The sequence below is a fragment of the Homo sapiens genome, chromosome 6, assembly GCF_000001405.40.
Source record: "Homo sapiens chromosome 6, GRCh38.p14 Primary Assembly".
In the NCBI taxonomy this organism is placed as follows: Eukaryota; Metazoa; Chordata; class Mammalia; order Primates; family Hominidae; genus Homo; species Homo sapiens.
The window spans coordinates 170,611,974-170,634,953 of NC_000006.12; the positions used below are offsets into that span (position 1 = coordinate 170,611,974).

The window sequence follows — 22,980 nt, forward strand, 5'->3', positions numbered from 1 at the left end:
AAAAAAAACCTTATCAAATAGCCCCAGTAAGTCACCAATTAAGTCTTTACTACTTAAAAGCAAAATCCACCTATGTCCTGAACACTTATCCACTTTACAAGCCTCATTATATGTACTGGAGACAAAATTCAGAAATAAATAAATATATATGTACATATATACAAATATATTTCAAATTAAAAAATACTTTTAGAGAGTGGTATGTATTACATTTAGAAATTAATAACGAAGTAAATTATGGGATGTCATCCACGCCTGTCCCAAAGGTACCGAATTTATAAATCATCTCAGGTGCGGAGCAGGACAGGTTGAAAATAGGAATGACATGAACCCGCGCGGAACAGCTGCCGGCGCGGTGTCCAGGGCGGCACCCCGCCCGGTCCCGGCCCCTCCAGCCCTGGGCCCGACCCCTACTACGCCTCTGCCTCGACGCGAACGCGGAGCCCGAGCGCGCGTCACGCCGTGTGGGGCCGAAGAGGCTGCTACCCAGAGGCGGAGTGCGGGCTCGCGAGGGTCCCCACCCCACTCTCGCTCCCGCCAGCACCTACGGACTCGCGTCCCCGCCGCGCGCCGACTCGGGAGCAGCACCGCCCCCGGCACAGGAGCCTCACGCGCCTCTTACCTAACAGGAAGTTGGGTGGAAGCAGCGCGGACCCACGGCACACCGAACGCACTCCAACAGAACCCGACGCAGACACGCGCTTTCAACCGGCGGAGACACTGGCAGGTCAATAGAGATATTGACTATATAAACAAAAGAATGACAAATTAATAGTGTAATGGATAACTTGACTTTGGCAAATATTGTGAATTTTTGTGAAAGTACAACTAAAAGGCAATGTCACTCCAATAATCACCAGAGTAATCAATTTGCTTATTGCTGTCCCTTTAAATATAGTTCTCTGGTATCAACTAACATGTTTTTAACTAATGATGCTTCTTAAAGAAAAGGGAAAAGACCTTTTTCTTTCTTTCAGTCTTCAATGATTCACTGCTTCATCTCGCTCCACCAAAGATAAATGAAATCTACATCTCTTATACATTAACAATGCATGACAATTTACAAATAGCTAAATTTTTGGAGCTAACTTTAAGTACCTGAATGGAATTTAATCAACCCACTAATCTCCTTCTCACTTCTCAGTTATTTATCAAGTTTATGTCAAGGGACAAGGAAAAATTATCCAAACATTGTTTAAAACAATCATCATTAATTAGTAACACTTATCCAGGGGGGTTTTTAACCTTTCCCCCACTCAAGGATTATTCTAATGTCAGAGTAGAATAAAAAATAAGTGCAGCGATGCTGACTCTTCCAAGCTTAACATTTCTCACAAGTCAATTAGCTTTGTACTGGGAGGAGGGCGTGAAGGGCTGCTTGCGGTAGTTGTGTAGCAGCAGCACAATGGCCGCAGACAAGGAAAACAGTTTCTAAAAATTCCTCGTATATAATTTTATATTTTTGACAAGATTAATGACCCATGCTCCCTTCCTCTCCATTTCTTTTTTTGGAATTCTGTTGGTATGTAGTTACTATATTTTATTAAAGGAAATTAGCCTTATCTCTTTTTATATTTTATTAAAGAAAATTATTATATTATTCCTTTATATTTTTATTAAAGGATTTTATTATTATTAAAGGAAATTAGCCTTATCTCTTATTATATTTTTTATGACCTTCAAAGTAGTGTCTCTGCTTAAAAGTGTACCCTGGCCGGGCGTGGTGGCTCACACCTGTAATTCCAGCACTTTGGGAGGCCGAGGCGGGTGGATCACGAGGTCAGGAGATCGAGACCATCCTGGCTAACACGGTGAAACCCCGTCTGTACTAAAAATACAAAAAATTAGCAGGGCATAGTGGCGGGCGCCTGTAGTCCCAGCTACTCAGGAGGCTCAGGCAGGAGAATGGCGTGAACCCGGGAGACGGAGCTTGCGGTGAGCTGAGATCGCACCGCTGCACTCCAGCCTGGGCGACAGAGCAAGACTCCGTCTCAAAAAAAAAAAAAAAAAAGTGTACCCTGAAGCACACATCAAGCGACATGTAGAGTTCATAAATTCTGGCCAAATGGTCATACCTCAAACCTCATCAGCACTAAGGCTCTTTACTTGCACTGACAAATATGAACGCTGGGGAATTTGGAAATGATATATAATATATAATATTATATATATAATAGATATATAATATATAATATATATAATACATATATAATATTATATATGTAATAGATATACAATATATAATATATAATAGATATATAATATTATATATAATAGATATATAATATTATATATAATAGATATATAATATATAACTTTCCATGTGATTTTCCTCTTAATTTTTTTCTAGCTGATCCATATGAATTCCTCTTATTAAGAAAAATAAAGCATCCAGGATTCAATGAAGAACTGACTATCACCTTGTTAATCATTCAGAAACATGTTGCAGGCTTAAGCCATTTTTGATATAGATACTGAAACAATTACTTGCTAAGAGCAAACTTGAAGGTATGGATAAGGCCCTGAGTCATCTTCCTGAGCTGAATGATAGTTAAGCTGAATGTACGTATAAAATATGATTTTCTAACCACTTGCTCGCCAACAAGGAAAACTTTTAAGTAGAGCAGAACCTGAATAGACAAGACATTTCTTTCTTTTGGTAGAAAATGATTTACCATCACTGTGTAGTTAATTGTAGACTAGGTAATTTTAACTTTGTGATTTATTGCCGGAGACATTTTCTTCTGTACTGTAAAGTGTGTGTCAAAAAAAAAAATAGCGATTTTGGAGGATTAGGGGACTTTGATAAATTGCCTGCAATTCTGGCAGTATGAACTGCATATTAATTTCTGTCTTTCAAGAACATTTTTATTTATTAATTCCTTACAAAAACTCCCTAAACTTTGGAACAGCTCTCAATTGCCTGTATTCTTTTTTTTCTTATTATGGTACTCTTCTAGAGATTTGGCTTGCATCTGTGAATAAGCCAGGACATCTTCAGAAATTGTCTGATTAAAAACACCACCAATGGAGTTTCATTAAATTTGTATTGCTCTGACTAGTGAAACACACACATCTATGTTGCTGAGGATATTTTACTGCAGTTCGAGTTGTAATAATAGCTCTGTTTAAGATCCGTCAGTCACTTGAATCTTCTCTAAGGCTTTGTATGTTAGAAGTTAATTTGCTTTCTTACAAGGCCACATTCTATCTTGTAACTAAACAACTGAATTTTATGTCTTAGCGTAGATGGTTTACTACTTTCTGGTTTTTCTTTAGTAAGAATCCTATAAAAACACTAGTATTTTTCTCTGAGTTTAAAATTCAATACATGCCTACTGATATGGTTAGGCTTTGTATCCCCACCTGAATCTCGTCTTGAATTGTAATCCCCATAGCCCCCATAATCCCCACAGGTCAAGGGAGAGACCAGGTGGAGGTAATTGAATCATGGGGGCAGTTTCCCCTGTGCTGTTCTTGTGATAGTGAGTTCTCACGAGATTTGATGGTTTTATAAGGGATTCTTTCCCCTTTGCTCGGCACTTCTTCATGCTGCCTTGCGAAGAAGCTGGCTTGCTTCCTCTTTGTCTTCCGCCATGATTGTAGATTTCCTGAGGCCTCCCAAGCTGTGCTGAACTGTGAGCCAATTAAACTTCTTTCCTTTATAAATTACCCAGTCTTGGGCAGTTATTTATAGCAGTATGAAAACAGAAAAATACACCTACTATGTAAAACTTAAAATACAAAAAAACAAAACATTATCTCACTAACATAGGAGCTAATATTTTGGTGTACTTTGTTTAGTATTTTATATTAAAAATATGTACATATATATTTATATATAATTAAGAACATGTATGTACAATCGTGCATACATCATGTACATACATCTACTTAAGAAAATAGCTATGTAATATACCATTACTCAACTAGATTATAATTTTTTCTCCATTTCTTTATTGTAATTTATCATTTTCTACTTTTTTGTTTTCTCATTTTTATTGCATAATATTTAATTATGCAAAAAATACATTAAATACATTGAAAATATATAGTGTAGCTATAAGAATAAAGAACGATGGTAAAACAAATGCTAATACCCACTACCTGACTTAAAGAATATGATATTATTTTTTTCCAATTGAAATTCCCTCAACTACTCAGAATTACTGCTATCCCTCTTATCCTTTCATTAATTTTCTTCTAGTTTTCTCACATGTGAATCTATTTCTAAATACATTATTTTGCAAGTTTTTGGACTTCATATAAATGTAACCATATTGTATATATTCTTCTTCAGCTTCTTAGTTTTTCACTAAACAATATGTTTTGCTGATACTTACATTCATATGTACAGTAATGGTTGATTTATTTTAATGGCTATATATTATTCCATTGTTAGAATACACCAGGATTTATTTTTACTTATTTTTTTTTGCTGGAAAATTGGGTGTCTTTTTTATTTTTTGATATAACAAACAATGTTGTAATCATTTTGTATTTACTTCCTAGTCCACTCCTGTAAGTTTCTCTTGAGTACATACTAGCAATGAATATGCTGAGTCACTGCATATACATACTCACAACTTTATTCTATAATGTAATATTCTATAAAGTAGCTGTATCAGTTTATACTTTAACCAGTAATGGACAAGATTTTCTGTTACTTCCCATCTTTGTTAATTATTACTTTTAGACTCTAACTTTTATCAGGCTCATGGATGTAAAAAGCATCTCAGGGTGGTTTTAATTTGCATTTATCTGCTCATCTATGAAGATGAGCTTCTTTTCATATAATTATGAGTCATTATTTTTGTTTTGCCTTCTTTTGTTTATGCATTTTGCTTGTTCTATGTCTTATTTTTCCTGTTGATTTTTGGGAGTTCATATATATTCTAAATGTATATTTATTCACTTATATATATGTTGTAAATATTACAGTTTATGATTTGTCACCTTATGATATCTTCCAAATAGAGAAGCTTTATATTTTGATGTAGTCATATGTTCATTTTTCCTCCTTAATGTTTGTTTTTCTTGGTTCTATGACCTACCAAAAGTAACAAAAATTCTCATTTATTTTTAATCTAAATGTTTTAAGTATTTTCCTGGAATTCACCTTGAATTGATTTCTATTGGAGATAGGTATCCAATCTAATTTGCCTCATATGGATAACCACTTGTTCTATTACTGCTGTAACAAATTTCTACAAACTAAGTGACCTAAAATAACACAAACTTGTCATCTTACAGTGTACACAAGTCAGAAATCAGGCATGAATTTTAGTGAACTAAAATCAAGTTGTCGACAGGCATGTTTCTTTATGGTGGCTAGGGTAGAATCCATATCCTGGCCTTTTCTATCTTCTAGAGAACATCAGCATTCCTTTTCTCATTGCCTCTCCTCTCTCTTTTTAAAGCTGGCAATGTCACATTTCTCTGACCATTCTTTCATTGTCACATCTCTCTCTGGACTCAGCTAAGAAAGGTTCTCCATTTTTAAGAACTCATGTGATTAGACTGGGCCCATCTGGGTAACCCAGGAAGATCTCTCCATCTCGGTTTGCATCCTTAATCACATCTGATAAGCCTTTATTGCATTCAGTGTAACATATTCACAGGTTCCAGGGTTAGGCATGGGCATCTTTGAGGGCCATTATTCTCCCTACCACATTATTTGCCTAGCATCTTTCATTACATTGTCCATCTATTTACTTACTGATTTCTAATGACATCCAAATCAGTTACAACATTTTATGTAAGCATTGTTTTTATTTTTATGTTATTCCACTAGTCTATTTTTCTACTCATGAATTATGGTACATGAGTTTATTTTTGCAACTTTAAGCTCAATAACATGTTTTAAGATTTCCTCAACTTTCTTTTTGCGCTTCTTCAGAAGTTGACTCTTTTGGCCCTTTGGTCTTCTATACACATTTTAGAAATGCTTTGTTGAGGACTAAGAGGAATGCTAAGATTTTGATAGGAATTTCATTGAATTTTGAGTATATTGGCATGCTACAATGGTTAGTGCTTTATACATGAAAATAATATATCCCTTCCTCTTTTCCTAGTATCATGAGATGTTTGTTAGGCAGACATGAATATTGAGTTGTATCAAATGTGGTTTTCTGCATTATTGTGGTGGTGATGTGATTTAGCTCCTTTAATTAGTTAATGTAATGAATTACATTTGTAGATTGCTCTAACTATTGAAACAAGCTTGAATTTCTGGAATAAGCCCAATGTGATATTTATTCAACAAATATTCATTGAGTATACCTAGTATGTAACATGCTTTAAGAATACACCAGTGAACCAAACAGAAATATCTGACATTACAGAACTTAACATTCCAGTATTTGGAGACAGACGATAAAAAAGTGAACATGTATATTTACAGTTTGTCAAGGAATGATAAAGGAAGACTCTTAAAGTAGATGGGGAATTGGGAGTGAAGTCTGTAATTTAAATAGGGTGGGCAGGAAAGCTTCACAGAGAATGGGACATTTAAGAATAGACTTGAAGGACAGGCAAGAGCAATCTCTATGTTTATATGGGAGAAAAGGTTCCAGGCAGATGCAGTAACAATGGCAAATATCCTGAAGTAGGATCATGCTGGAGTTTTTGTGGAGCAGCAAGGAGGCTAGTGTGACTGCCACAGAATCACCCAAGGGAAGATGAGAAGATCAGACCAGACCAGCACTTGGGCATCTAATGGGAAAAGTTTCTCAAGCCATCATAAAAATTTCACTTTTACTATAAATACTACGAGAAACCATGGGATGTTTTACAGTAAGAAAGGTGGCATAATATGTTACATGTTTTAAACAAACTCTATAGCTTCTGAGTTGAAATAGATTGTAGGGGCTCATGGCAGAAGCAGAGGGAACATTTAGGAGACTACTGTAAAGAATATCATGAAAAGAACAAACAACGCTATGTAACATGCTTAAATGGACTGAAGAAGATGTATAAAATCAAAATGATGTTACCTTCACACCTTGAATCAGTACGATAAACCCCCCTCCCCAATCACAAAAGAAAAACTAAACACAAAAACCAGGCTTTGGTTGCTCAGACAATTTTACAGGTGAGTTCTAGCAAACATGCAAAGAACGTTTAATTGCACTGTTACAGAAATTCTTCTGGAGACAAGAAAATAAGACACATCACCCAACCAATTTCATAATAACAATGTCAATGTATAATAACAGAAAAAGTGGATCTCCAAAGAAATAAATTTATTTGGAAATAAACAAGGATTATAATCTGAGATATTTGTGCTATGATCAATCATAGGTGCATCCCAAGAGGTTGAGGTAAGGAAAATATGTAAAGACAAAAAGAAGTCCATGCAAGCTGTTTTGAAACAAACATCATTGGTCACAGGGTCTGATGCAGGAGCTGGTGTTAACTTACTGGCAGAAACAGCCATTGCTAGGCAAGTGTTCTTGTGAGGGTGGCTTATCTGAAATGCTGCAGTCTTGAGGAATTTTTTATGATAGGTCCTATTATAGAGACACCTACAGGATGAGCTGGACAAACAGAGTGTGCTGGGTGGGCAGAAATTTCTTGTGAGTTTATAGAAAGTCCTTGTGATAGTGCTTATCGTGGACAGACACACAAGATCCCCTTTTTCATGACCCGGCTCCACTTTGCTTTGGGTCTGATGTAAGTGACTTTGCCTTGTCATTGGCAACTTTCACTGTAGTATAATCTGCACATCAAAGTTACCTAACAATAGTACAAAGAAAGAAAATTAAAGGTATATCTCTTTCAAAAATATAAACCCCAAAATTGTTAGGAAATTGTAGTGAGTATAAAAGATAATTCATTATAATAAACATCTCAAGCTTCACAGAATTCTGACCTTTGCTACACTCTCATCCACAATCTTTTCTCCTAGTAAATGGCAGCTCCTTCTGTTAAGTTGCTGAGGCTTCTTATTGCTTTTTTCTTCAAATAACAGTCAGAACTGAACAACTGTAATCATCCTAGTCCATACAATTGTTATATTTTCATTTAAAGAAGATCAATGTGTGATTCTTTTTTTATATATTTCTGGACAATTCTTTATATTTTAATAGTAGTCAGAATTTGATCAGGAAAACAGAAGACATCCTATGTATTATAATGATAAAAGTTTAATATTAATTAGGGCCTTATGCTATTATTGGAAGAGCTTGGTGAATAGATATTAGAAAAGCAGCTAGACAAAAATCAGAAGAGGTCTGTTTTATATCAGAGATCTTAGCCTGACAGTCTAGAGTGTGGGCACAGAACCCAAGCTTATAGGAATTTCTGAAAGGTCTGTAAATCTTATCCAGATGGACAGTGGGAGCTCATAAAGGATTCTGCAAGCCATCACATCTGTCAAACCTGCTATGTCTAATCCTTAAGCCTGCTTTATGTGAAGACCTCCTCTTCACTCCTCACTTCCAGCTCTCATGAGTTTCTTTCATAGGCAAACCCAAACCTGGAACAATGTGCCTGAAGACTTCGGGTGACACAGTACCCAGACTTAAATAGGAGGGGAGCCATGGTGGAAGTGGCCATCCAGCACAATTTTCTTGGTCTTTACTCATAGTTTTGATTCCTTAAAAAAATTAACCACATTAAAATATGTGTTTCATAATCTACATCTAATAATACAAATATTTAAAGTCTTTTCAAGTTTGAATATGCTACCCATGTTGCTGCTACCCCCATTTTGTGTGTGTGATTTTTGTGTGTGTGTTAGAAGCTCATGACCTTTGAAACCTGCTCTTATGAGCTTGCTTTGATGATTTATTTGTCCAGAGAGGATTTTTTTTCCTACCTAGCATTTTGGACTGCTATCAACCTGAGACCACTTTGAATTAAATTCTCAGCTTGCAAATTTGGAAGCCACACAGATTGTGTGAGTTCAGGCTGAAACCTGTTTGAGAGCTGGATTCTGGCTATAAACTCCACAGGGAACATTTTCTCTCTCCACTCAGAGCTGAGACCATAGGGAAATTTATTTGCTAGCTCACTTTGAAGGTTTATTTTATTTATTTTTTAAATTTCTAGTACACGTGCTCACTGAAGGTGTAATACTTATGTGAGAATCTCAAAATCAGTTGTGTTCTTTGTATGACCCTGGTTTTGTTTCCTCCTGCTCTCTTACTTTCAGTGTGTCTCAGTATGTCTGCTCAATATGTCATCTTAAATTTCAACTGAGGGTGGATCTTCTTCCCAGCTCACTCACATGGTTCTTAGCTAGATTCAGTTTCTCTCCATTTGTAGGACTGAGGACCTCAGTTCTTCACTTAGGGTTGGCTACAGGTAATCATCAATTTCTTGTAACAGGACTTACACTGGGCCACTGACAGCATGCCAGTTGGCTTCATTCAAATGAGAGGGCAAGAGAAAGAGAGAGAGGGAGAGGGCACAAGAAGAAATTCACAGTATCTTATAATCTAATCTCAGAAGTGGCATCTCATTTCTTTTGTTCTATTCTATTCAATAGAAACAAGTACCTGGGACCAGCTTACACTATAGGAAAGAGATTATATAAGGGTATAAATACCAAGAGGTAGAGATCATCAAGAGCCATTCTGGTAGCAGCCACAGTATCTTATCCAGAATATTTCTTATTCAGGCCTTCAAATGTGCTGTCTTTTCTGGTCTAATGGAAATGAACCTTCCTTCCATACAATTTCTTCTCCTAAATTGTACTCTGGCTCTCTTATCATATACAAACGTCTATGTTAGGTATTTGTGTCTGTCTTGATTCTTGGTAGGCTTTTAAACTCTGTGAATGTTGGACTGTGATGTAGACATCATTTCACCGCACACTCTGTAACCACCAAACCTTAGCAGCTTATTCAGTAAGCACATACTTGGCTCTTAATGAGTATTGCTTAAATTGATGAATTGAATTAGTATTTTACCTTCTCTGTTGCTTAGCTAAGCAGAAGAATTTGTCATTTTTTTAATTTAGTGACTGGTTCTATTAAAAGTTACCTTTGTCTATATCATTTTGTTATACTAAAGCACAAATGTATAAGGTCAAAAAACATTCTCAAGATTTTGTTTAAACCACAGCCCTCAGTTGTGTATATTTATCTCTTGTTTTCATATGCAAGATTTCTCCTGAAATGGGCAACAATTACAAGAGTTTTTTTCCTCTTCTGAACTAAGAAAATAAATATTTAATTCACAAGTTTAGAAAAGTGAACCTGAAAAATCACAGGGCTAGGTGGGTTATGAGGCCCACTGGTACATGATAGTGTTGAATGTGGATTAGAATGAACTCCGTGGATTAGAATCTCAGACCATAGGCAAACATTTACTTGTTTTAGAATAAGCACATTTGAGTCTGCAATAAGTATTACTATTTTTAAGTTGAAAATGTAATTGGTTTCTAATAATAACCATATTGGCTAGCATTATTTCAATGGTGTTTAATGTTTTCCAATGTCATTTCATGTCAGATATCTCTCTTGATTCTTAGTAACAATTTGGACAAGACAGCAAATGCTATTGTCCAAGTTTTCTAAAGAAGAATCTGAAGTGAAATGACATCAAGAGACCTATCAAGACCTGTATCCAGGAAAAGGTAAATCTGAGCTGAAAGTGTAGCCCTTGTAAATTACCTACGTGACATACCAGATAGTGTTCATGATCCATTCAGTACTCTGTTCTAAAAATGAGACAATATCCATTTATTCACTTGTTCATTTATTTAGTGCTTGTTCAGCCCTTACTGCATATTCCAGGCACTATTCTGACTGTGGCAGGAGTGAACAAACAGGCATGGTTCTTACTTGCATGTAATTACAGTCTTATAGTGAAAACAAGTGTTAAACAACAAAATCTCCCAATTATTTTAAAATTATAAACTTGATTCGATACTATGTGGCCATATAATTGTTCCTAATTTGGTTGGAGAAGGGAGGCAGTTAGGGAAGCCTTCCCTGAGTTAGTGCCATTTAACCTGAATTATGATAGATGATAAGTAATTTGTCAGGGGAAAAATACTCCAGGAATAAAGAACAGGTACAAAGGTCAGGTTCTGGGAAGAGCTTGTCTTGGTCCAGGAGCTAAAAAATGTTAGAGTGGCTGGATCTGGGAAAGAGACAAAGAGTTATTAAATGAGGCAGCAGGCTTCAGCAGGTGCCACATTGCTCAGGGCCTTGTAGGCCATGCTAAGGATTTGGGATGTTAATGTCAGTACAAACAATTGAGTCATAAGCACAAAGTAAAAGCATGATTCCATCAAATGTTATTCTCTAAACAGTAATTTTATAAATACAGGTTAAATGTGTGTGGTCCCAGCTACTCAGGAGGTCCCAGCTACTCAGTATTCCTTTTCAACAAATATTAGGTGCCTACTATTAGCCAGGTACAGCCCTTAGCTGCATTGAATGAAGCATATATTACAAACTGGCAGAATTTCTTAAACAAAGAATCTAAAGTTGTTTATACACCATAATCTCGGTATTTTATAAATTTCTTGAAATTATTTTTATGTACGCTGCTTTGCAGAATTTTAACTGGCTTTGAAATAAACAATGACAATAGTCCTCCATGTTACTAGTTTCAAATTTTCCCAATACCTACTAAGACATTACTTAATCCACAGATTTACTGTCAATAGTTTGTATCAAATTGTGATAACATATTTGAAATTAATATTTCAAATTAAAGCAAAATCACAAATTTATACTTTATATTATGAATGAGATTCACAAAAGGAGCATGATAATATATTCTGTTGTCATCGCATACAAAATAATAACATATAGAGTATGAATCAATAATTTTTCAAATACAAAGCTATTACAATTAGGAATACAAAGAAATCATAATTAGGAATACTTCTACAATATTAACACACAATAGTGGTAACACTTGCAAAATGATGGTGGTGGTTTTTTTTTTTTTTTTTTTTTCCCCGACAGAGTCTTGCTCTTGTTGCCCAGGCTGGAGTGCAATGGTGTGATTTTGGCTCACTGTAAACTCCACCTCCTGGGTTCAAGCGATTCTCCTGCCTCAGCCTCCCTAGTAGCTGGTATTACAGGTGCCTGCCACCACACCCAGCTAATTTTTGTATTTTTAGTAGAGATGGGGGTTTCACCATGTTGGCCAGCCTGGTCCCGAACTCCTGACCTTAGGTGATCCACCAGCATCGGCCTCCCAAAGTGCTGGGATTACAGGTGTGAGCCACTGTGTCCAGCCAGTGGTGGGTCTCATATCTCAATGTGGACTTTTACTAACTCCCGATGCCTCATTTTCCTCATCAGTTGAAAGGAATGAATGAAAGATTTGTGTTTTTCATATTACCAGGTAGATGATAAGGAGATTTTAATTTTCTTTTTTTTTAACTTTTATTTTAAGTTTAGGGGCATTTGTTACATAGGTAAACTGGTGTCACAGGGGGTTATTGTACAGATTATTTCATCACCCAGGTATTAAACCTAGTACCCAATAGTTATCTTTTCTGCTTCTCTTCCTTTTCTCACCCTCCACCCTCAAGTAGACCCCAGGGTCTGTTTTATTCTTTGTGTTCATTAGTTCTCATCATTTAGCTCCCACTTATAACTGAGAGTATGCTGTATTTGGTTTTCTGTTCCTGCATTAGTTTGCTAAGGATAATAGAAGGTCCATCCACATTCCAGCAAAAGACATGATATCATTTTTTAATGGCGGCATAGTATTCCATGGTGTATATGTACAGCCTGCATATAAACTGTGGGCTAAAGACCTTCACCAGAGCAGTCTGACAGAACCTCTCTGAAAGACTTCTCCTAGGCTGTAATCCTCAGTCTCTTGTTCTCAGACCCCTAAATAAATCTAACTTTAATTTCTTAAAAGCTTAATTTTTTTCTTTAGTTGACACCAAAAATCTCCCCAGCCAGATCCACAAACTTTTTCAGTATTTTTCCTATTTTTTATATCATTCCAGGCAAGCGTTTTCTAACTCTCCCATCAGAATACGACTTTGGTGCGTTTTCCTCAGTCTCCACTGATGATTTTTTCTCATTATCCTTAAAGCCCTTTCCAGTAGACTTCTTAAGCTCTTTCAAGTTTTCAGTCTCCTTAAGGACCATTCAGTGTTTACTGTCAGTTCCCAGAATGCTTTTACAGGTTTTGCTGTCATTTTCCTTGAAGTCTGTTCACTTTTCACTAACAGTCTTTGTGAAATCCTTCTGGGTTCTATCCATTGTCTGATTCCAAAGCCAATGCCACATAGTTTAAGTTTATATTATATTAGAGTGACATCTTATTCCACGTACCACAAACCACCTCAAAACTTCGCAGCTTAAAACAACAAACTTAAAAAAAATTGTGGACTTGTATTAGTGCAAGCAGGGCTTAGCTACATGATTCTGCTCCGTGTGGTATTAACTGTAGCCATCTGTGGTATTCAGCTGGCAGCTGGGTAGTCTGGAGAGTTGAAGGTGGCTTCAGTGATGTGCCTGTTTTATTAGTGGATTGGATGAAATGTTGTGGTAAGGTGGGCCTCTCTTGCTCTCCGTGTAGTTTGAGAGCCTGTCTACATGATCTATTCAGCAGCAATATGGTTTGGCTGTGTCCCCACCCAAATCTCATCTTGAATTGTAGCTCCCATAATTTCCGTGTCTTGTGGGAGGGATCCAACGGGAGATAACTGAATCACAGGAGTATTTCCCCCATACTGTTCTCGTGGTCTTGAATAAGTCTCACAAGAGCTGATGATTTTATAAGGGGGTTCCCCTTTCACTCAGCTCTCATTCTGTCTTGTCTGCCATCATGTAGAGATGTGCCTTTTGCCTTCCACCATGATTGTGAGGCCTCCCCATCCACCTGGAAATGTGAGTCCATTAAGTGTCTTTTTCTTTATAAATCACTCAGTCTCAGGTATGTCTTTATCAGCAGCATGAAAACAGACTAATACAGTACATTGGTACTGGTAGAGTGGGGTGCTGTTGTAAAGATAACCCAAAAATGTGGAAGCGACTTTGGAACTGGGTAACAGGCAGGGGTTGAAACAGTTTGGAGGGCTCAGAAAACGACAGGAAAATGTGGGAAAGTTTGGAACTTCCTAGAGACTTGTTGAATGGCTTTGACTAAAATGTCAAATAATGATATAGACAATGAAATCCAGGCTGAGATGGTCTCAGATGGAGATGAGGAACTCAATGGGAACTGGAGTAAAGGTGTCTCTTGCTATCGAGAGAGACTGGCAGCATTTTGTCCCTGCCCTAGAGATTTGTGGAACTTTGAACTTGAGGGAGATGAGTTAGGGTATCTGGCAGAAGAAATTTCTAAGCAGCAAATCATTCAAGAGTGACTTGGGTGTGTTAAAAGCACTCAGTTTTAACAGGAAAACAGAGCATAAACGTTCAGAAAATTTGTAGCACGACACTGTGATAGAAAAGAAAAATCCATTTTCTGAGGAGAAATTCAAGCTGGCTGCAGAAATTTGCATAAGTAACAAGGAGCCAAATGTTAATCGCTAAGTCTTCAGGCCATGTCAGAGATCTTTGTGGCAGCCCCTTCCATCACACACCCAGAGGCCTAGGAGGAAAAAATGGTTTCATAGGCTGGGCCCAGGGCCCCTCTGCTGTTTGCCTGTGTACAGCCTAGGGACTTGGTGCTCTGTGTCCCAGCTGCTCCAGCCACAGCTAAAAGGGGTCAAGGTACAGCTCAGGCCATGGCTTCAGAGGGTGCAAGCCTCAAGCTTTGGCAGCTTCCATGTGGTGTTGAGCCTGTGGATTCACAGAAGTCCAGAATCGAGGTATGGGAACCTCCACCTAGATTTCAGAGAATGTATGGAAATGCCTGGATCTCCAGACAGAAGTTTGCTGCAGGGGTGAGGTCTTCATGGAGAACCTCTGCTAAGGCAGTGGGGAATGGAAATGTGGGGTTGAAGCCCCCAACACAGAGCCCACTAGGGTACTGCCTAGTGGAGCTATGAGAAGAGGGCTGCTGTCCTCCAGACCCCGGAATGGTAGATCCACCGACAGCTTGCACTGTGTGCCTGGAAAAGCTGCATACAATGCCAGCCTGTGAAAGCAACCGGGAGGAAGGCTCTGCCCTGCAAAACCACAGGGGTGGAGCTGCCTGAGACCATGGGAACCCACCACTTGCATGAGTATGACCTGGATGTGAGACATAGAGTCAAAGGAGATCATTTTGGAGCTTTAAGATTTGACTGTCCCACTGGATTTCAGACTTGCTTGGAGCCTTTAGTCCCTTTGTTTTGGGTAAATTTTACCATTTGGAACGGCTGCATTTACCCAATGCCTGTACTCCTATCTTATCTAGAAAATAACTAAATTGCTTTTGATTTTACAGGTTTATATGTGGAAGAGACTTGCCCTGTCTCAGGTGAGACTTTGGACTGCCAACTTTTGAGTTAATGCTGAAGTGAGTTAAGACTTTTGGGGACTATTGGGAAGGCATGATTGGTTTTGAAATGTGAGGACATGAGATTTGGGAGGTGCCAGAGGCAGAATGAGGTGGTTTGGCTGTGTCCTTTCCCAAATCTCATCTTGAAATGTAGCTCCCATAATTCCCATGTGTTGTGGAGGGACCTGGTGAGAGATAATTGAATGATGGGGTGGCTCCCCCATACTGTTCTTATGGTCGTGAATAAGTCTCATGAGAGCTGATGACTTTACAAGGGGCTTCCCCTTTCACTCAGCTCTCATTGTCTCTTGTCTGCTCCCATGTAATGCACACTTTTCACCTTCTGCCATGATTGTGAGGCCTCCCCATCCACATGGAACTGTGATTCCATGAAACTCTTTTTATTCATAAATTACCCGGTCTTGGATATGTCTTTATCAGCAGCATGAAAATGGACTAATGCAAGCAGAATAAGCAGAATTCTTCGATACTGACTCTGCACCCACACACGTTGGTTCCAAGATGTAGAAATGGAAGCTTCAAGGCTTTTAACATCTGGACATCAAAACTGGAAGTTTTACTTTCACTGTATTTTATTGGTCAAAGCAGTCAAAGAGCCCACCCAGGTTCAAGGAGAAAGAATATGTCCCCACGTTTTCAACGGGATGGTGCCACAAAATTTCTAGTCATCTTAATTCACCACAGATAGAAATATGAAGAGCTCATTTGTTATGTTATTTGTGAATGCAGACTAAAGATATTTGTTGGTTTATATAGTAGTGGGAAAATGAGAACTTTTAAAATATTCAACTTTTAGCCCTTGACATGCAAAATGAGTTCATTACATGGTAAGGATGAGGGAGAAAGAAAAGATCTGAAAAAGTAGAAGAGTGATGGATTCAGAAAGTATAGGATGATTGTCAGTGTGATTGTTTTATCTAGCCACATATAGCTGTGTTGTATCAAGATGTAGAAGGCAGAGAGTAGGATTTATCAGGATTGTTGTTTGGAAGAGTGAGTACAATCATTACGAGGGAGCAAGGTATTGATCATGGAATATAAAGTGGGAAAAGAGGTAAGGTAAGAAGGATATCAGTAAAGTGAATGACAGCATAAATATGGTAGAACCATTGGATTGGTGGCTCTGGAGGAATTGAATAATTATTAGACTTGAAGCATTAGATGGTGCATTAGTGAGGGCATCTCCAACTAAGTCTACCATCAAGTCATGGTGATTTATTATCTCAAATATATGACAAATTTATCTACTTATTTCCAAAACTCCCATATCTAGTTTAAGTAATCAAATTTCTTGCCTTGGCAAGCATGTTGCTTTCTAATTGACTCACCTGTATCCAATTTGAATTCCTTAAAATCCATTCTATACATTGTAACCATAGTGATATTTACAAATGTGAAATCTGGTCAAATCATTCTTCTGCTTAGTAGTCTTGGATTTCTCATTCTCTTAGGAAGCATCTTCCACTACTTATTTCAGCATTATCTGCACAATGCTTCCCCTCACTTCCTCACAATGTGGTTTCAGGCACAACTCCCAAGGCCCCACTCTGGCCTCGGGGAGCAGATTGTTCCCCCTGCAGGAAAACCTTTGTTCTCCACTCAGTTAACTGCTGTTTACCCTTTAGATCTCAGCTTCAGTGTTGCTTTCTTAGGGGAAACTTCTCTGACTCACATCAAATCCCTCTCTTATAGTAATTTTCATTGTATTTCAGAGTAATTTTTATGGTTGCAATTTTACATTTGTGTGATTGTTTGATTAATCTCTGTCTCCTCCACGAAAACTCCAAGATGCAGGAACTATATCTTACTGGCATCCAGCACAATACCTGGCACGTAGGTGTTCAAAAAATACTAATAGGGTAAATAAATGAATTAATTTTATGCTTTTATTTTAATATTTTTATGGTATTAATATTTCTCTCTATGTGATATTTTGTATGTACATATTTTCTTTTAATTTGAAGATTTATAGTTTATTTTAGTTATGTGCTGTATAAATTATATTTAGTTCTTTAATTTTTGTGTTATTTCCAAGGGTGCTCTCCATTGACTCTTTTAATATAGTTCCACTTTACCCCTTTAACCCACTTTCCTCTCCCACCGTCGTGATTCAACTTTATTTGATTTTGTTATTTTTAATTTTTCTAATAATGACCTTTATCTTTTAAAATAATATTTAATCACCCATAACATAATTTGTTGATTCTCTCCCACTGTGAAAGTTGAATGGACCAGAATATATTTCTACTATCTTTCTCTTCTTATTTTTGTTATGAATATAATTAGTCTTTATACAGTTATGGTTTGTAACATTTGCATTCTGTTCTTTAACCGCAAACCCCAGAACATTTTGATATTAGGCTTCAGAATGCTCACTTGTATCATGTTATCTCTATTCATTTTTAGTGGATAGTTTTCTTTTTTAAGTTTTTCTGATAGAGATGGGGTCTTGCTATGTTGCCCAGGCTGGTCTTATCTTGAACTCCTGGGCTCAAGTGATTCTCCTGCCTTGGCCTTTCAAAGTGTTGGGACTGTAGGTGTTAGCCCCTGCGCCTGGCCTCTAATAGTTGTCTTCATTAAAGCCTCATGGGGACTCTATTTTTTTTTTTTTTTTTGTGGGTTGTTTATTTTGTGTTTGTGAAGTCCGGTAAATTCAGTTGCATCTGCCTTGATATGGTCATACTATAACATATTTTTTCTGGATAAAGATAAGCCCTTTAACCATTAGATTCAATGTTTTCTTCATTTCAGAAAAGTTTTCTTTTATCTTTGAATTTTTTAACCAGATATTGTGAGCTCTTTCACACTAATTTCTCATTTGTTGGACCTGACTTTAATGTTACATTTCACCTTCTTGTGTTTTCTATTTTGTTTTGCTCAGGATATATTTAAGCCTGTCATTTATATTCTTATCTGTGTTTTTAGCAGCATTATTCTCTCCACTTCCCACTTTTTTTCCTGCTTTTATTGATCTTCATTTCTTTCATGGTTGTCTTTACTCATTACATCCTGAATTTTGCCAGATTATTTTTTATCACTTTATTTTGTATTTATTTTCAATTATGTCTTCTAAATATCATTTCAGAGAGAAAACATTTTAGAGAAGGCATATTTTTAAAAAACATAGAAAATTTGATCCTATTTTTTACTGCTTCATGGTATAATTTGTATGTTCTGTACCTTATGTAATTTTCCCTTTTTCTTCTAGTATTTTTATAAAGGTCATCAAGTTTTATTTTTGTAATACAATTATTATAAATAATTATATAATATTATTAGTCTTTGAATATTCTAGATACTTGTGAAAGGATATTGTGGAGGAGGAGCTGGGGGTAGTAAGTATGATGGAAGGCAGACGAGTTTTGGAATCTTGTCGCCAAAACACTCTCATCTGTTAGAATGACTCCTAGGCTATAGGATTGACTATGGCTTAGAGTGGATTCATAGTTGTTAATTTCATCATGTGACTTGTGACTTATCCTTTTCTTTTCATAATAGAATGAAAATTGCCATCTGTCTGGCTTCTTCCCCATCTTTTTGCCTTCTTTCATTACACCACACACGTGTCCTAATTATTCCAAAGGTGATACATTTGCATGTTTCCCTTTAAACTCCTTTCCCTCTGTCACTCTGTGGAGGGTTCACATGCTGCAATATTTCTGTTCCAAGTAAAGATCACAGGTTTTGATCCTCAGTCCTCAGTATACACACCTCTTTTAGGGATTTCTGGGCTTCTTGACTAGCTCAAGCTCTTCAGAGGCATGCACTTTATCTTGGTGTTCAGTCTTGACTGGTTTAAACTTTTGATGTCCAGAAGGTTTTCTTCATGTGTTGTTGTGTGGAATTGTAAATATTTTCTAGCTTTTGTAAGGTTGTGGCTCATATTTATATTTCTCCTGGTTTGAAAGAAGAGAGAGAAAGAAGTATGTCAAATTGAGACTCTTAGATTGGAAATCTGAATTTATTTACACGATTGAGATTGATCTAGAGTTTTATTTTTTCTGCTGTAACTGAAATTTGGATTCAAGATTATATGTGTTTTGTGAATATGTTTGGTAACATTGTGACTTTTCTATAATTTAGGGAAGTTTGATGTAGGAGAAAGAGAAAAAATTTTTGAGAGAATCCTAAATTCATATATGGCCTAACCTTTTAATATCTATGTAATTTTAGATAATAAATAATTTGTTTGAGATTATGTGGCTCTAACAACACCTGCTTCACAGTGTAATTATGAGGATTTCATAGAATTTGTATAGTGAGCGTTAGTTTTGATGTTACTTTAAACCTCTTTGCCTTATACATTCTGTTTTTTCCATGGAATATTATATGATTTCATGTCCACATATTAATCTCATACTTTCAATTACATTTTATGTTTAAATTGAATATTATGGTAATCGTTATGTAAATGATTAAAAATTTAAAGGGACAACATTTAATGTTGCTCTGGAATTCACCTTTAGTCATAAAATAAAGATTTAAAGTATCATCTGTAGACAATGGCAAAAGGCTTTTTTTGTCATAAGAAAATCAAATATGCTTTATTTCACCCAATTAACAGTTTCTGGGCTTGGCTATCCCGGGAAAACCAAAATGACCATAGGCGGTAATTCCCCAGGCCGTGTGATCTCAGTCTGGCATTCTCGGATCTCCAAGGCATCACTTTGGCCACTACCCTCTGGGGCTGTGATTAGCAGCTCTCTTCCTGTTTTATGCAGCTCTGTGTGTATGTCTGCAGTGATGCCGTACTGGATCTGGTTCATCTTGTGAGAACTATACCTATCTGAATTTTTGATGATGCTCTTTTCTTAGTTCCCTTGGCAAAACAGGTAGGTGAGGGATAGAAATAAAATCTATACTTAGTAAATCGGTGAGCCAAGGTCTGTGACTGGCAATGAGTGAATTACATTCTCCTCAGTTGGGTGCAATGTCTGCCTTCTGTGTGGCCATTTGCTGTTGCCACTAGAGAAGGAGGATGCAGCAGGGATCAGGCACCGTGGAGAAAAGTCGCCGTGTGTAGGCAGCTAAGAATGTAGGAAAATGAACATCTCGGCTCCCAAAGGACGAGAATAAAGCTGTAGAAGAATGTCAGGGAGGAATCTGAGTTGATCGTATGACTATTCATCCTTCTTCCCACATTTTCCCGACTGTTTAGCCCTACTTTTCTTCGCGTTGGGTCTCATTTTCCTTCCTGTGTGGCCTGTGCCTTATGGTCAGCGCGGACGTCCATCAGTCTATCAAATGCCTAGAAACCTTTCGCCCTTTGTCACCTTCTGTGTCACCCAGCATTCCCCTTCTCAGCCCTTTTCATTCTCATGGTGGAATCCTTTTGGTTTGATTTCAAGGGTCCAGCACTGTTGATGTCACAACAGAGTGGCATGGAAAGTTTCTGAAAATTTTGTCATCTAACCTCTCGTGGGGACTTTTAATTAATTCAGCTTTTGACAACTCCATCACATTCATTATATTATCCATTCATTCATTCATTAATACATTTGACATTTATAATGTGTGCCAACAATGTGCCAGGTCAAAACTGCCCACTGACAATGTAGAACATTTCTGTAAATTTTATTTCAATTTTCTTGTATTTCTTCTCCTTTATTCTACCATCCCACTTGATCTTCTGCCACAGAAGTTCTCTTCTCTCTCTCTTTGTTCTCTCTTCTCCTCCTTTATTCTTGATACCTGCTTCTGTGTTGGCTCCTCTAGGCCAGCACTTGTCCTCCTACCTCTGTGATGTTCTGTCTAGTTTATTGATTCCTTTTCCTACTTTACATAATCAATGTGGATAGTTTCTATAGTTGGGTCTTTGCTTTTTAATCTTTTTTTCCTGTGTATTATTTCCTTCAGGGACCTTATGCACTCTTACACATCCGTCTATTATTTTTATATGGATTACTATACAATTACATGTTGAATTCGTACTTTTCCCCCATATATCCTGTCATATGTTTTCACCTGAGCATCTCAATATCTAATACTCTTATTTGCTTAAAATACACGTGATTATTTTCTCCACCCTGACATATTTTATGTTCAACTTTCTAATTTCTAAAAATGGACCTACCATTGTCCTATTTATTCTTGCTTAAATCTTGATATTTTCTTTGAGTTCATGCTCCTTCGTATTCACTCCAGCTGTGATAAGTCACCAATCCTTTGGGTTTTTACTTACCAGTATTTCTATTTCTGTTTCTATAGCCTTAAAGCTGGAACTGTGTAGTCCCAGTTCCTCTGTGTAGCCCCCCAAGTCTGCTCTATTTCAATCTTCTCTTAAGGGAACTCCTTCCCTCCGTTTTTCTTTTCCTCCATTTGATACATCACACTTATAGATGGGGCATCTTCCCTAATTACTGGCTTCATCCTCAATTCCCAGGACCCATACCTTCACTGGCTTCCTAAATTTATTTAATAATTCTCATATACCTTTGAGAAGTTTCTAATGATAGGCAACAAATGAATATTGACTACCTTTCTTATTTTCCTTTATTCACCAAAATGATTTTTAGGATGTAGACAATCTGTATGCTTCAACATACACCAAACTTACCATTTTTGAAATATTTTACAATCTACTTGAAAAGACTTCTTTAGACCCTATATTCATGTATTGTAATATTTATCCTCTTTTATGGCTATACTCAAATGCCACATCACTATAGTGCCTTCCCTCATCACTGTAGCTATCTCTTTTCACTCTACTTATATTGTAGAGGATTTGTTACACTTCTTGAACTGCTGATCTCAAGCGATTTGCTTGCTTTGGCCTCCCAAAGTGCTGGGCTGACAGGCGTGAGCCACTGCACCTGGCCTGATTTGTTCCACTTCTACTATATGCATCACACATGCCTGATGCATATTTTAATGCACGTTGGATAAGGATCGGCTTTGTACGACTTCAGTCTTTCTTGATGTGTGACACCCACTTCTATTTTGGCTCCACTTTAACAAAATGAATAAGTGAGAAGGTAATACTGGAAACAGAACATAACTGTGACTAGGAATTTGGTCTTGACTCGCCATTTAATTTTCTGATGTGCATGACTGTTTTCTTCACATGTGAAATTTAACATGAGGTTGAAACTGGAGAATTTTATATTTTTCATGAAAAAGGCAATTTGGGAGAAAAGTCCATTTTCCTGAGGATAAGGTATTGTATGGTTTGACTGCTTTGCCTTGGCTGGTCAACACATTTGTACACCTGGATAGGCACAGTTTTCAGAAATCCTTTCAAGCATCTACCAATTCTCCTGTCTACAAGTTTACCTTCCTCCCATTTCTCATTCCTAATGACAAGGGAAATATCCAGTGTTATCTGAAGTGGTCATAAAAGACATTTTTTTTCTTTTTATGTGAGGAATTGAAACTTATGGCTTTAGATTATGGGGCTTACCATCAAGGAAAGGGCGTAGCGTGGTCAGAGGACAAAACTTCTTCCTGCATTTCTCAGGAAGTCTTTGATTAGTGTGTCCACCTAGGAGCAATTTTTTTTGGGGGGGGCGCTGGGAAATATACTTAAGTGATTAAATCCAAGTGTAGACATGAGAGCTTTACCTAAAGCCAGGTCTAATTACCATACCTGAGAATCAG

At 37.2% G+C, this 22,980-nt stretch overlaps 1 long non-coding RNA gene across 1 annotated transcript in view; it reads left to right on the forward strand.

Moving 5' to 3' along the window:
- The first annotated feature begins 692 nt into the window (after positions 1 to 692).
- Positions 693 to 22,980, forward strand: part of LOC101929692 (uncharacterized) — a 115,831-nt gene continuing 93,543 nt past the window's right edge. The window contains exons 1-2 of the long non-coding RNA NR_171670.1: positions 693 to 727; positions 2,351 to 2,562. This is a non-coding gene — a long non-coding RNA (uncharacterized LOC101929692). The remainder of the gene's footprint in view (positions 728 to 2,350; positions 2,563 to 22,980) is intronic.